Raw genomic sequence first — 14,577 nt, forward strand, 5'->3', positions numbered from 1 at the left:
ACTGAGGTGTACTTGAGAGTGGAGGGTGGGAAGAGGGAGAGGAGCAGAGAAGATAACTATTTGGTACTGCACTTAATACCTGGGTGATGAAATAATCTGTACAAGAAACCTCCATGACTTGAGTTTATCTATATAATAAACCTTCACATGTACCACCAAACCTAAACTAAAAGTTAAAAAAAAAGAATATTAGGTGTAAAAAGACATGTTGATTATTTTTCTAAATTATGCTCTGATTTTGGAATGACAAAATCAAGAGTTATGAGAAGATATTTAGGCACTTGATTAAAATAGAAACAATAGCTTGGTTACCTATTAATCAAAGAGACCATATGATATTTTAAATAAACATTGAAAAAGATGACACAAGAATATGGAATCTTGGCTCTTTAGAATCAAAGGCATAATAAAGTCACACAAAGAACAGAAAATTATTCTGGTGAGACTTTGAATTCTTGCTATCCAGACAGATAACACAGGGTGTAGAAAATAACCTTTTTCTTTCCCTCATAAGAGCAGAAATAAATACTCTAAGACAAATCTATCACTTTAAAAGAGAGAAATCATATTCTAGGTTTTCATTAATGTCAGACTTAGCAGTGAAGATTCTCAGGTTCCTCTCACCCCCCTTGTTTAAACTTATGGATGAGCTCATCAACACTATGCAAACTTTTCCAGAATTTGAGGACATTCCTTGGCTTCTTTCAGACTCATCATTTGTAAGTATTATAAATCAATTTCTAAAAACCCTCTACAACTTTCTATATTCAAGTTTTGTCTCCCATTATTCTTTTTCACATGTGGAACAACCAGATACTTTACTTAGGTCAAAACTACCTCTTTGATCCTTGCCATTTTCCTTTCCCATGATCTTGCAAATAGTTGAATTTATTTGCCATAATGCCTGGTATAGTTTTTTGTTTGTTTGTTTGTTTGTTTTGTTGTTGTTGTTTTTAGGTGGAGTCTCACTTTATTGCCCAGGCTGGAGTGCAGTGGTGCAATCTCGGCTCACTGCAACCTCTGCCTCCCAGGTTCAAGAGATTCTCCTGCTTCAGCCTCCGGAGTAACTGGGATTACAGGCTCGCACCACCACACCCAGTTAATTTTTGTATTTTTAGTAGATACAGGGTTTCATCATGTTGTCCAGGATGATCTTGAATTCCGGGGCTCAAGTGATCTGCCTGCCTCAGTCTCCCAAAGTGCTGGGATTACAGGCATGAGCCACCATGCCCAGACCCTGGTATAGTCTTAACCATTTATATTCATTAAAACTTATAAACAAATTCTATTTTAAAAAGAGAACTTGTAAGTAAGTATGTAATTAAGAATTATCTGTCATACACAAGCATTTAGGCAGACCCAAAAGCATAGAGGAACATATAATACAACCTCCTACTGCCATCCACATGCCTTTTACACCTTCTCCAAGTGGCAAAAAGAAACACTTCCACTAACAAGATCCAAAGATACAGTCACTCTATAATATATGCAAATAGGAAGCAAAAGTATACCCATTTAGATGTTAAGATGACACTCAGTAACCGAGATTTCTGTATTCTATTTTACTTAGAAATTACCCAGGTAGTCAAAGATTCTTCATTAATCATTATCCTTTATCAATTTAATATTAGTTTATAGATTCAAAGTTTACTGAGGGTGTTAGAAATTATGTTCAAACAGATATGCTACACATATAATTGCTGTTAATAGAAAAGGTTTGTAAAAACTCTAATTCAATTTATTTGAAAATTTTGTTTTCCCACAATCCTAAATATTATGTAGGGCTAATATTAGCTAATCTAATAAATGAATTAGTGTAAAAAGTTTAGGAAGTTCAGATTAACTAGTATCTTCACATAAAAGAAAATATACCAAACCTTACTTTCAAAAAATCTTATATTTATACCCCACACTGATAAAACCATAGGAAATTACATGTAACTGTTGCTAATCCTAATTATTAAATCAACCTGATTTGGACATGGATTCATCTTGATTACTTGAATTTTGATTCTTATGAAAATGCCTCCTAGCTAGCATTTTCTGTAAGAGAGAATTTTTGTAGGTTAGCCCATTTAAAGTATTAGTTTAGCTTCTTTATTTTGGGGGATGACATGGTTTGGCTCTGTATCGCCACCGAAATCTTATGTTTAATTGTAATTCCCTATGTTGGGGTGGAACTTAGTGGTAGATGATTGAATTATGGGGGTGGATTTCCCCCTGCTGTTCTCATGATAGTTAGTGAATTCTCACAAGATCTGGTTGTTTAAAATTGTGTAGCACTTCCCCTTTTGCTCTCTGTCTCCTGTCACCATGTGAAGATATGCTTGCTTTCCCTTTACTTCCACCATGATTGCAAGTTTCCTGAAGCCTCCCCAGCCATGCCTCTGGTACAGCCTGTGGAACTGTGAGTCAATTAAACCTCTTTTCTTTAAAAACTATCCAGTCTCAGATAGTTCTTTATAGAAATGTGAGAACAAACTAATACAGAAAATTGGTACCAAAGAAGTGGGGCATTGCTATAAAGATACATGAAAATGTAAAAGCAACTTTGGAACTGTGTAATGGGAAGAAGTTGAAACAGTTTGGAGTGTTCAGAAGAAGACAGGAAGATGAGGGAAATTTGGAACTTCCTAGAAACTTGTTGAATGATTTGACCAAAATGCTGATAGTGTTATGAACAGTGATGTCCAAGCTGAGGTGGTCTCATAGGGAGATGAGGAACTTACTGGGAACTGGAATAAAAGATCCCTCTTGCTACACTTTAGCAAAGAGACTGGCAGCATCGTGCCCCTGCTCTAGAGATCTGTGGAACTTTGAACTTGAGAGACATGATTTAGGGTATCTGGTGGAAGAAATTTCTAAGCAGAAAAGTGTTCAAGATATGGCCTGGCTGCATCTAAAAGCTTATGCTCATTTGCATGACCAAAGAAATGACCTAAAACTAGACCTTATATTTAAAAGGGAAGCAGAGCATAAAAGTTTGGAAAACATGCAGTCAGATCATCCAATAAAGAAGAAAAACCCATTTTCTGGGAAAAAAAAATTCAAGGTTACAGAAATTTGCATAAGTAAAGAAGAGCTGAATGTTAATAGCCAAGACAATGGAGAGAATGCCTTCAGGGCATTTCAGAGACCTTAGCAGGAGCCCCTCCCATCACAGGCCTGCAGGCCTAAAAGGGAAAAATTGTTTTGTGGGTCAGACTCAGGGCCCTGCTGCTCTGTGCATCCTTGGGACAAGGCACCCTGCATCCCAATTGCCCCAGCTCCAGCTGTGACTAAAATGGGTCAAAGTACTGCTGGGGTCATTGCTTCAGAGGATGCAAACCCCAAGCCTTGCTGACTTCCAAGTGGTGTTGGGCCTGTGCATGTACAGAAGGCAAGAGTTGAGGTTTGGGGGAATCTGCCTAGATTTCAGAGGATGTTTGGAAATGCCTGAATGTCCAGGCAGAAGCCTGCTGAAAGGATGGAGCCCTCATGGAGACCTTCCACTAGGGCAGTGTGGAGGGGAAATGTGGGGCTGGAGCCCCCACACAGAGTCCCCATTTGGGCACTGCCTAGTGGAGCTGTGAGAAGAGGGCCGCCACTATCCTCCACCTCCCAGAATGGTAGGTCTTTTGACAGCTTGCACTGTGCATATGGAAAAGCCAAAGGCACTCAGTGCCAGCCATGAGGGCTGTACCCTGCAGAGCCACAGAGGCAGAGCTGCCCAAGGCCTTGGGAGCCTACCCCTTGCATCAATGTGGCCTGGATGTGAGACATGGAGTCAAAGGAGATTATTTTGGAGCTTTAAGATTTAAGAACTGCCCTGCTGGGTTTGGGACTTGCATGGGGCCTGTAGATCCCTTTGTTTTGGCCAATTTCTCCCTTTTGGAATGAGAGAATTTACTCAATGCCTATACCCCCATTATATCATAGAAAAACAAACTTGTTTTTGATTTACAGGCTCACAGAGGGAAACAACTTGCCTTGTCTCAGATGAGACTTTGGACTTGAACTTTAGGGTTAATGCTGGAATGAATTAAGACTTTGGAGGGCTGTTGGGAGGGTATGATTGTGTTTTGAAATGTGAGAAGAACATGAGATTTGGGGGGGTCCAGGGGCAGAATGATATGGTTTGACTCTGTGTCCCCACCCAAATCTCATGTCAAATTGTAATTCCCAATGTTAGGGGAGGAACCTGGTGTAAGTTGATTGGATCATGGGGGTGTATTTCTCCCCTGCTGTTCTCCTGATAGTGAGTGAGTTGTCACAAAATCTAATTGTTGTTTGAAAGTGTGTAGTGCTTCCCTTTCACCATCTCTCCCCTGTCACTATATGAAGATGTGTTTGGTTCCCCTTTGCCTTCTGCCATGATTGTAAGTTTTCTGAGGGCTCCCAAGTCATGCTTCCTGTACAGCCTGTGGAATTGTGAATCAATTAAACCTCTTTTCTTTATAAACTACCCAGTCTCAGGTAGTTTTTTTATAGCAATGTGAGAATAAACTAATACTGGGAATTCTGAGAATATTATATCTATGTAATTCCTTAAAGTCCTATGAAGCATTTAATTAATTTAAGAGACATTGTAATCTAATTTATTAATATCCTTCAGGAGAAGGAAAATGTTTCACACTCACAGTGAGAAGTAAAGCTTTTCTTAATTACATACAAACCTACAGAGAGCTTGCAGTTTCAGTTCTGTAAACTAAGTCACAGGTCAAGAACAGATAGAAATACAAACATTCACTTATCCAGATCTCAAAGGATGTGCTTAGTTCCAGGAAGCACAAAATATTTTCTTAGTTACTTGAGCTCACAAATGGTCAAACAAACTGAAAAGACTAACAGAATTATCTCTCATTTCTCACCCAAGAGAGTATATCCCATCGTTCTAGTAAAGATCACCAAATGATCACACTATGCAGCCAGAGTCCCATCATTGCAGTCACCAGTGGCAAATGACTATTGGTCATGCTTAAATCAGAACTATGGCTAAATCTGTCCAAGGGCCAGAAATAAAAAAGAGAAACATGATTAGAAGAGTAAGCAAGTGAAAGTGTGAGAGAGAGAGAGGAAAGACGAAGGTTTATTACCACTTGAGATCCATTGTAGGTGCCAAAATCACTTGCCGGAGCTGCAGCAGCCCAGGTTTGTTTCCCATGCCTCAGAGTTTAATGAAAACTAGCAGGTTAGTCCACTTGACAATCTCAGCAAATCTTCAAAAACCAACAATTATTTCAATTCCCCAAAATTTAAAAACATGCAAATATAGAAACAACATGTATCCAAAATTACTGATTCATCAATAAGGAAATAACTAAGATGGTAAAGTTATTTAAAAGAGCATTTTGATCAAATAAACAATCTAATGCAACTTAAAGAACTAGAAAAGCAAGAGAAAACCAAACCAAAAATCAGTAGAAGAAAAAAAATAATAAAGGTCAGAGCAGAAATAAATGAAATAGAAATGGAAAAACAATACAAACCTCAATGAAACAAAAAAGTTTTTCGGAGTTTAACAAAATTGACAAACCTTTAGCCAGACTAAGAGAAAAAGAGAAAATATTCAAATAAATAAAATCAGAAATTAAAAAGGACATACTACAACTGATACTGCAGAAATTCAAAGGATCACTAGTGACTACTATGAGCAACTATATGCCAGTAAATTGGAAAATTTAGAAAAAATGGACAAATTCCTAGATTCATACAACCTACCAAGATTGAACCAGAAAGAAATTCAAAACCTGAACAGACTGATAACAAGTAACAAGATTGAAATCATAATAATAACAATAATAAAAATCTCCCAGTAAAGAAAAGCCTGGGACCTGATGGCTTTGACTGAGTTCTACTAAACCGAATTCTACTAAATATTTAAATAAGAACAAATACCAATTAGTTCTTCTAATTCTACTATTTAAGGAAGAACTAATATCAATCCTACTCAAACTATTCCCAAAAATAAAGGAGGTTGGAAGACCTCCAAACTCATTCTATGAGGCCAGTATTACCCTGATATCAAAACCAGTCAAAGACACATCAAAAAAAGAAAACTACAGGCCAATATCTCTGATGAATATTGATGCACAAATCCTCAACAAAATACTAGGAAGCTGAATCCAACAACACATTAGAAAGATTATTCATCATGACCAAGTAGGATTTATCCCTGAGATGCAAGGATGATTCAACATATACAAATCAATCAATGTGATATATCATATAAACAGAATGAAGGAGAAAAATCATATGATCATTTCATTGACACTGAAAAAGCATTTGATAAAATTCAACATCCCTTCATGATAAAAACTCTCAAAACCTGGGGATAGAAGGAACATACTTCAACATAATAAAAACAACAGACCCACGCTAATATACTGAATGGGAAAAAACTGAAAGCTTTTCCTCTAAGATAAGGAACACAACAAGGGCGCCTGTTGTCACCACTGTTATTCAACATAGTGCTAGAAGTCTTAGCTAATCAGACTAGAGACATGCAAAGGAATGAAACTAGACCCCCAGCTCTCACCATATAAACAAATAGAGTCAAAATGGATTAAAGACTTAAATCTAAGACCTCAAATTATGAAACTACTATAAGAAAACATTGGGGAAAATCTCCAGGACATTGGTATGGGCAAAAATTTCTTATTACCCCACAAGTACAGGCAACCAAAGCAAAAACGGACAAATAGGATCACATCAACTTAAAAAGTTTCTGCCCAGAAAAGGATGCAATCAACAAAGAGAAGAGACAACCCACAGAATGTGAGAAAATATTTGCAAACTACTCAACTGACAAGTAATTAATAACCAGAATATATAAGAAGCTATAGGAAAAAAAATCAAATAATCTGATCAAAGATGGGCAAAAGATTTGAATAGACATTTCTCAAAAGAAGATATACAAATGGCAAACAGGCCTAGAAAAAGGGGCTCAACATTATCAATCATCAGAGAAATGCAAATCAAAACTATGATGAGATATCATCTCACCCCAGTTAAAATGGCTTATATCCAAAAGACAGGCAATAACAAATGCTGGAAAGGATGTGGGGAAAAGGGGACCCTTGTATACTCTTGGTAGGATGTAAATTAGTACAACTACTATGGGGAACAATTTGGAGATGCCTCAACAAACTAAAAATTGAGCTACCATATAATCCAGCAACTCCACTGCTGGATATATACCCAAAACAAAAGAAATCAGTATATCGACAAGATACGTGGACTCCTAGGTTTGCTGCAGCACTGTTTTCAATAGCTAAGATTTGGAAGCAACCTGAGTGTCCACCAACAGATGAATGGATAAAGAAAATGTGGTACACATATACAATGAAGTACTATTCACCCATAAAAAATAATGAGATTCAGTCATTTGCAACAATATGAACAACATAGATGGAACTGGAGATCAGTACGTTAAGTGAAATAAGCCAAGCACAGAAAGACAAATATTGCATGTTCTCGCTTATTTGTGGGATCTAAAAATCAAAACAATTGAACTCATGGACATAGAGAGCAGGAGGATGTTTACCAGAGGCTGGAAAGGGTAGTAGGAAGGGGCGGGTAAGGTGAGGATCGTTAATGGGTACAAAAAAAATAGAAAAAATAAAAAAGATCTACTATTTGATAGCACAAATAGCAACTATTATTAATAATAACTGCACATTTTTAAATAACTTAAAGAGAGTAATTAGGTTGTTTGCAACTCAATGAATAAATGCTTGAGTGGATGGATACCCCATTCTCCTTGATGTGCTTATTTTACATTGCATGCTTGTATCAAAACATTTCATGTACCCCATAAATATATATACCTACTATGTACCCACAAAAATGAATAAAAATAGATTTTTAAAAAAGACTTACTATGAAACTAAGAAAACTATCTCTTTAAAATATGGTAAGGATGAAAAATAAAACTTATTTTTTACACAAAAAATAAGTAAATAAAAGAGCATTTTGAGGAACATGGACTGTATTTACTATATTGTGGTAGGCTGAAAAAAGATCCCCCAACACTTGTATCCCCAGAACCTGTGAGTATAATATCTTACATGGCAAAAAAGATTTTAAAAATTAATTTAGTCTAAGGATATTTATATGGGAAATAATCCTGGATTATCTGAGTGTGCTCAGTTTAACCACAGAATAAAAATAGAAGAGGAAGGCAGATGGTAGGTCAGAATGATGCTATGTGAGAAGGATCTGCTGTTGCTGGCTTTGAAGTTAGAGGAAGGGGACCATGAGCCAAGAACGTGATGACCTCCACAAGCTGGGAATATCCCTCAACTTATACTTAGCAAGAATATGGATGGGGACCTCAGTCACAAACCTGTAAGGAACTGAATTCTTCCAATAACTCACATGAGCAGGAAACAGATTCTCTCCTGAGAGACTCCAAAAAGGAGCAAAGCATGCACAGACCTTGACTTTAGTCTGGTAAGACTTGTACCAAACTTCTGACATTCAGAAGTATGGAATAATAAATCTGAGTTGTTTTAAGCCACAACATTTGTGGGAATTTGCTATAGCAACAATAGAAAACTAACATACTAGAATGGAGATTTAATTTGTTAAATTCCTACAGGACAATAAAACTGTGACCTTGAAACTTATCTTTTCTGCCACACAGATACCTACATTATGCATTTGATATGTTTAGGTTTTGTGTCACCACCCAAATCTCATCTTGAATTGTAACCCACAGGTGTGGAGAGAGAGACCTGATGGGAAGTGGTTGGATCATGGGGGCAGTTTCCCTGTTGTCATGATAGTGAGTGAATTCTCACGAGATCTGATGGTTTTATAAATGGTAGTTTTTCCTGCACTCTCACATGATCTCTTTCACCTGCTTCCCCTTCTACCATGATTGTAAGTTTCCCAAGGCCTCCCAGCTACGTGGAACTGTGAGTCAATTAAACTTCTTTCCTTTGTAAATTACCCAGTCTTGGGTACTACGTTTACAGCAGTGTGAGAACAGACTAATAAAACATTTAACATCAGAGTATGACTTCATAGTTAATAGTGAATATCAAAATAAAAAACAGGTACATTATTCTAGATATTTAAATTATTGTTTAGTGAATCCATTAAACAATGTCCCAGTATGACATTGAAAGAACATTCTATTCACCTTTTTGCCTTCTTTCCAAGTTTAATTATTTTTTTTTTCTGCCAGGTGAGACTAGATGTCATTTCATTTTATAGACTATAAGTCCCATGATGGCAAACACCGTATCTTTTTCAACTGATATCTTACTTGAGTCTAACACATTGTCTGACATATTGTGGGTGCTAAATAAATGTTGAATGGATAAACAAACCTTTGCAATCTCATGTCTGAATATTTCCTGCTGTGAAATTTATGATTCAACCTCACTGAATTCCTTCCATTCCTTAAATATCAATAAACCATGCTCTCTCTCACTGTGAGACTTTTGCACTTTCTTTTTCTCTGCCTGAAACCCACATCCCCATTTTGCCTGGCTAGTGAGCAATCAATGTTAGAGCTCAGCTCAGATGTCACTTCCTCTGGGAAGCAGTGTCTGGTCACTCTCCCCTTCCCATACATCATTCTCTTTGCTCTCACAGTCTGTGTACTTACCCCTCCATAGCACTTGACGCATTATATTTTTCTGTATGTTCTCTTCTTGATAGACTAATGCAGCAAACAATAATAGTGTTTTTGCTTGTTTGTTTTTAAGGCAGGGTCTCACTCTGTTGCCCAGGCTGGAGTTCAGTGTGCGCCATCGTGGCTCACCACAGCTTCAACCTCCCTGGGCTCAGGTGATCCTCCCATCTCAGCCTCCTGAGTAGCTGGGACCACAGACCTGCACCACCACACCCAGCTATTTATTTATTTTTTTGTATTTTTAGTAAAGACAGCATTTCACCATTTTTCTCAGGCTGGTCTTCAAACTGCTGAGCAACCATAATAGTTTAATCATCAACCCTAGAGTCACACTGCCTGGCTCTACAATTGACTAGCTGTATTAATTTAGGTCATTTAATCCATGACTCCATTTTTCATATCTAAAGTAACAACAATATTAATGCAACTACTGCATAGGGCTGTTGCGAGGACTAAATGTTAAAGACTTAGGACAGAGCCTGGTATACTGCTAGCTCACAGGAAGCTTTTGCTGTTTTGTAAGTTTCCTGAACTCAGAACCACCATCTTATTCACTCTTTTCCTTAGTTTCTGATACAGAACGCCTGCCATAGAGTGAGTGTTCAGTATCCTTTGGTGACTTGAAGAGATTTGTGATCCAGTAAAGAACATCCTTCTGTGGGACCATAATTGGATATAAAAAAGCAATGTCTTTATAGTGAGATAAGCTACCCAGAGAGGCTCAACTTCAAAGGCAAGAGGGATCCTCCAACTCACCCCCACCCCAAATATCTGGAAACCAAAGTACCAGTCCTGGTGCTCCCTGGAGGGGCCTGTTGACTCAAGCCTTCTGGGACATATACCTCATTACATCACAGATGCAAGAAGCCTATTCCCCAAAAGACTGTGGATTCTCAGTAACAGCAGACCCTTTCCATCCCTACCTCCCTAAAACACATAAACGCATGTGCACACACATACACACCACTCCCTCCATCCCACCCCAAGCTTCCTGGATCAGGAAATTCTCCTGTGGTCTTTAGACGCATTATGCTGACCTGAGGAATCAGGCTTTATAATTCCAAGAGCTTGTTCAGGCCCAGGATGACTCGAAGGAGAATAAGAGTTGCCTTTTACTGAAGGAATGCAGTGCCATGTTTTCCCTCTTTGGTTATTGGGGTTCCTAGCTGAGTCATTACACCCTTTTTGGTGCACAGATTGAGAGCTTTCCTCAGCCTTTCCGCCCAGCAGGGTCCGGAAGCACCAGCCCATCCAGGAACAGCACAGAGCTGGCTGATGACTTCATCAAATTCACACTCCTGCAGGCAACTGCCTACAGCCCCCACAGAGTGAAAAGAGAACATAAATTATGTGAAAGGCACAGTCACTTTGCAGAAATTACCCTGAGCCAGCATGGAATTTGTGCATGGATAGAAACTGTGAGATTTGGTATGAATTTTTAAAGGCCCAGTCTTATCACATACTGGACCTGTGTGGGCTGCATTCAAAAGAGCTGTGCAGGAGCCTCACTGGTGATTGTCCACATCCTCCTAGTTTCCATCTGTTATTGAATAAGGTTTTACATTGTTTGCCAATGTATGCTTTTATTTTCCCTATCACTAAAGAGCAGAAAACACCAAACAAACATAAAAAAAAACTAGACAGTACATGCCTGAATTATTATTATTATTTTGCCATTGAGAAAAGCGAGCCAGAAGAGGTTACACAAAATGTGAAAGGCTATATAGCACAATAGGCACAGAGACCAAACTCTTGAGTTCCGGATTTCTAGGGACATTACAGCATATAATCCATACAACAATCTACCAGTTGGATGCTATTAACCCACTAGCAAGGAAGCACTTTTTTTTTTGCCAATTAAACATTTATTTTTTACCTGAAAACTCCACAGCTAATAAAAGAGGTGGGTGAATATTAGAATTTTTGCTTTTTTTTTTTTGGTTTGTCTGTCTTATTTATTATACCTTAAGTTCTAGGGTACATGTGCACAACGTGCAGGTTTGTTACATAGGTATACATGTGCCATGTTGGTTTGCTGCACCCATTAACTCATCATTTACACTAGGTATTTCTTCTAATGCTATCCCTCCCTCTGCCCCCTACCCCAGGACAGGCCCCAGGGTATGATGTTCCCTGCCCTGTGTCCAAGTGTTCTCATTGTTCAATTCCCACCTATGAATGAGAACATGTGGTGTTTGGTTTTCTGTTCTTGTGATGGTTTGCTCAGAATTATGGTTTCCAGCTGCATCCGTGCCCCTGCAAAGGACATGAACTCATCCTTGTTCATGCAATACTGCATAGTATTCCATGGTGTATATGTGCCACATTTCCTTAATCCAGTCTATCATTGATGGACATTTGGGTTGGTTCCAAGTCTTTGCTATTGTGAATAGTGCTGCAATAAACATACGTGTGCATGTATCTTTATAGTAGCATGATTTATAATCCTTTGGGTATATACTCAGTAATGGGGTGGCTGGGTCAAATGGTATTTCTAGTTCTAGATCCTTGAGGAATTGCCACACTGTCTTCCACAGTGGTTGAACCAGTTTACACTCCCACCAATGGTGTAAAAGTGTTCCTATTTCTCCATATCCTCTCCAGCATTCGTTGTTTCCTGACTTTTTAGCGATCACCATTCTAACTGGTGTGAGATGGCATTTCATTGTCGTTTTGATTTGCATTTCTCTGATGACCAGTGACGATGAGCATTTTTTCATGTGTCTTTTGGCTGCATAAATGTCTTCTTTTGAGAAGTGTCTGTTCATAACCTTTGCCCACTTTTTGATGGGTTTTTTTTTCTTGGAAATTTGTTTAAGTTCTTTGTAGATTCCAGATATTAGCCCTTTGTCAGATGGGTAAATTGCAAAAATTTTCTCCCATTCTGTAGGTTGCCTGTTCACTCTGATGGTAGTTTCTTTTGCTGTGCAGAAGCTCCTTAATTTAATTAGATCCCATTTGTCAATTTTGGCTTTTGTTGCCACTGCTTTTTGTGTTTTAGTCATGAAGTCTTTGCCTGAATGGTATTGCCTAGGTTTTCTTCTAGGGTTTTTATGGCTTTAGGTCTAACATTTAAGTCACTAATCCATCTTGAATTAATTTTTGTATAAGGTGTAAGGAAGGGATCCAGTTTCAGCTTTCTACATATGGCTAGCCAGTTTTCCCAGCACCATTTATTAAATAGGGAATCCTTTCCCCATTTCTTGTTTTTGTCAGGTTTGTCAAAGATCAGATGGTTGTAGATGTGTGGTGTTATTTCTGAGGCCTCTGTTCTGTTCCATTGGTCTATATATCTGTTTTTGGTACCAGTTCCATGCTGTTTTGGTTACTGTAGCCTTGTAGTATTGTTTGAAGTCAGGTAGTGTGATGCCTCCAGCTTTGTTCTTTTTGCTTAGGATTGTCTTGGCAATGCAGGCTCTTTTTTGGTTCCATATGAACTTTAAAGTAGTTTTTTCCAATTCTGTGAAGAAAGTCATTGGTAGCTTGATGGGGATGGCATTGAATCTATAAATTGCCTTGGACAGTATGGCCATTTTCATGATGTTGATTCTTCCTATCCATGAACATGGAATGTTCTTCCATTTGTTTGTGTCCTCTTTTATTTTGTTGAGCAGTGGTTTGTAGTTCTCCTTGAAGAGATCCTTCACATCCCTTGTAAGTTGGATTCGTAGGTATTTTATTCTCTTCATCTTGTGAATGGGAATTCACTCACGATTTGGCTCTCTGTTTGTCTATTATTGGTGTATAGGAATGCTTGTGATTTTTGCACATTGATTTTGTGTCCTGAGACTTTGCTGAAGTTGTTTATCAGCTTAAGGAGATTTTGAGCTGAGATGATGGGGTTTTCTAAATATACAACCATGTCATCTGCAAACAGGTACAACTTGACTTCCTCTTTTCCTAATTGAATAGCCTTTATTTATTTCTCTTGCCTGATTGCCCTGGCCAAACTTCCAACACTATGTTGAATAGGAGTGGTGAGAGAGGGCATCCCTGTCTTGTGCCAGTTTTCAAAGGGAATGCCTCCAGTTTTTGCCCATTCAGTGTGTTATTGGCTGTTGGTTTGTCATAAATAGCTCTTATTATTTTGAGATACGTTCCATCAATACCTAGTTTATTGACAGTTTTTAGCATGAAGTGCTGTTGAATTTTGTCAAAGGCCTTTTCTGCATCTATTGAGATAATCATGTGGTTTTTGTCATTGGTTCTGTTTATGTGATGGATTATGTTTATTGATTTGCATATGTTGAAACAGCCTTGCATCCCAGGGATGAAGCCGACTTGATGGTGGTGGATAAGCTTTTCAATGTGCTACTGGATTCGGTTTGCCAGTATTTTATTAAGGATTTTTGCATTGATGTTCATCAGGGATATTGGTCTAAAATTCTCTTTTTTTGTTGTGTCTCTTCCAGGCTTTGGTATCAGGATGCTGCTGGCCTCATCAAATGAGTTAGGGAGGATTCCCTCTTTTTCTATTGATTGGAATAGTTTCAGAAGGAATGGTACCTGCTCCTCTTTATACCTCTGGTAGAATTCGGCTGTGAATCCGTCTGGTCCTGGACTTTTTTTGGTTGGTAGGCTATTAATTATTGTCTCAATTTTAGAGGCTGTTATTGGTCTATTCAGAGATTCAACTTCTTCCTTGTTTAGTCTTGAGAGGGTGTATGTGTCCAGGAATTTATCCATTTTTTCTAGATTTTCTAGTTTATTTGCATAGAGTTGTTTACAGTATTCTCTGATGGTAGTTTGTATTTCTGTGGGAAGCACTCTCTTGAAAGGAATAAGACTGAATTCTGAGAGTAAACATTTGATGAAAAAATATAGTTCAAATCCTGCACACCTGGGTGACTTAGAAAATTTTAACTATAAATAAGGGCATTCAAAATACATAGCAGTATTGGCAAAGGGAGTCCCAAATGCCATGCCCAGACTAATTGTTTTTCTCTCTTCTT

At 38.1% G+C, this 14,577-nt stretch overlaps 1 long non-coding RNA gene across 4 annotated transcripts in view; it reads left to right on the forward strand.

Annotated features, from left to right (window-relative positions):
- Positions 1-14,577, forward strand: part of CTB-1I21.1 (uncharacterized) — a 28,574-nt gene that overhangs the window by 4,847 nt on the left and 9,150 nt on the right. For 2 of the 4 annotated variants that reach the window (NR_188339.1, NR_188338.1), the window contains exon 2: positions 14,038-14,199. This is a non-coding gene — a long non-coding RNA (uncharacterized CTB-1I21.1). The remainder of the gene's footprint in view (positions 1-14,037; positions 14,200-14,577) is intronic. The other 2 variants (NR_188336.1, NR_188337.1) reach the window with 1 other exon arrangement.

The sequence above is a fragment of the Homo sapiens genome, chromosome 5 (assembly GCF_000001405.40).
Source record: "Homo sapiens chromosome 5, GRCh38.p14 Primary Assembly".
Taxonomy (NCBI): Eukaryota; Metazoa; Chordata; class Mammalia; order Primates; family Hominidae; genus Homo; species Homo sapiens.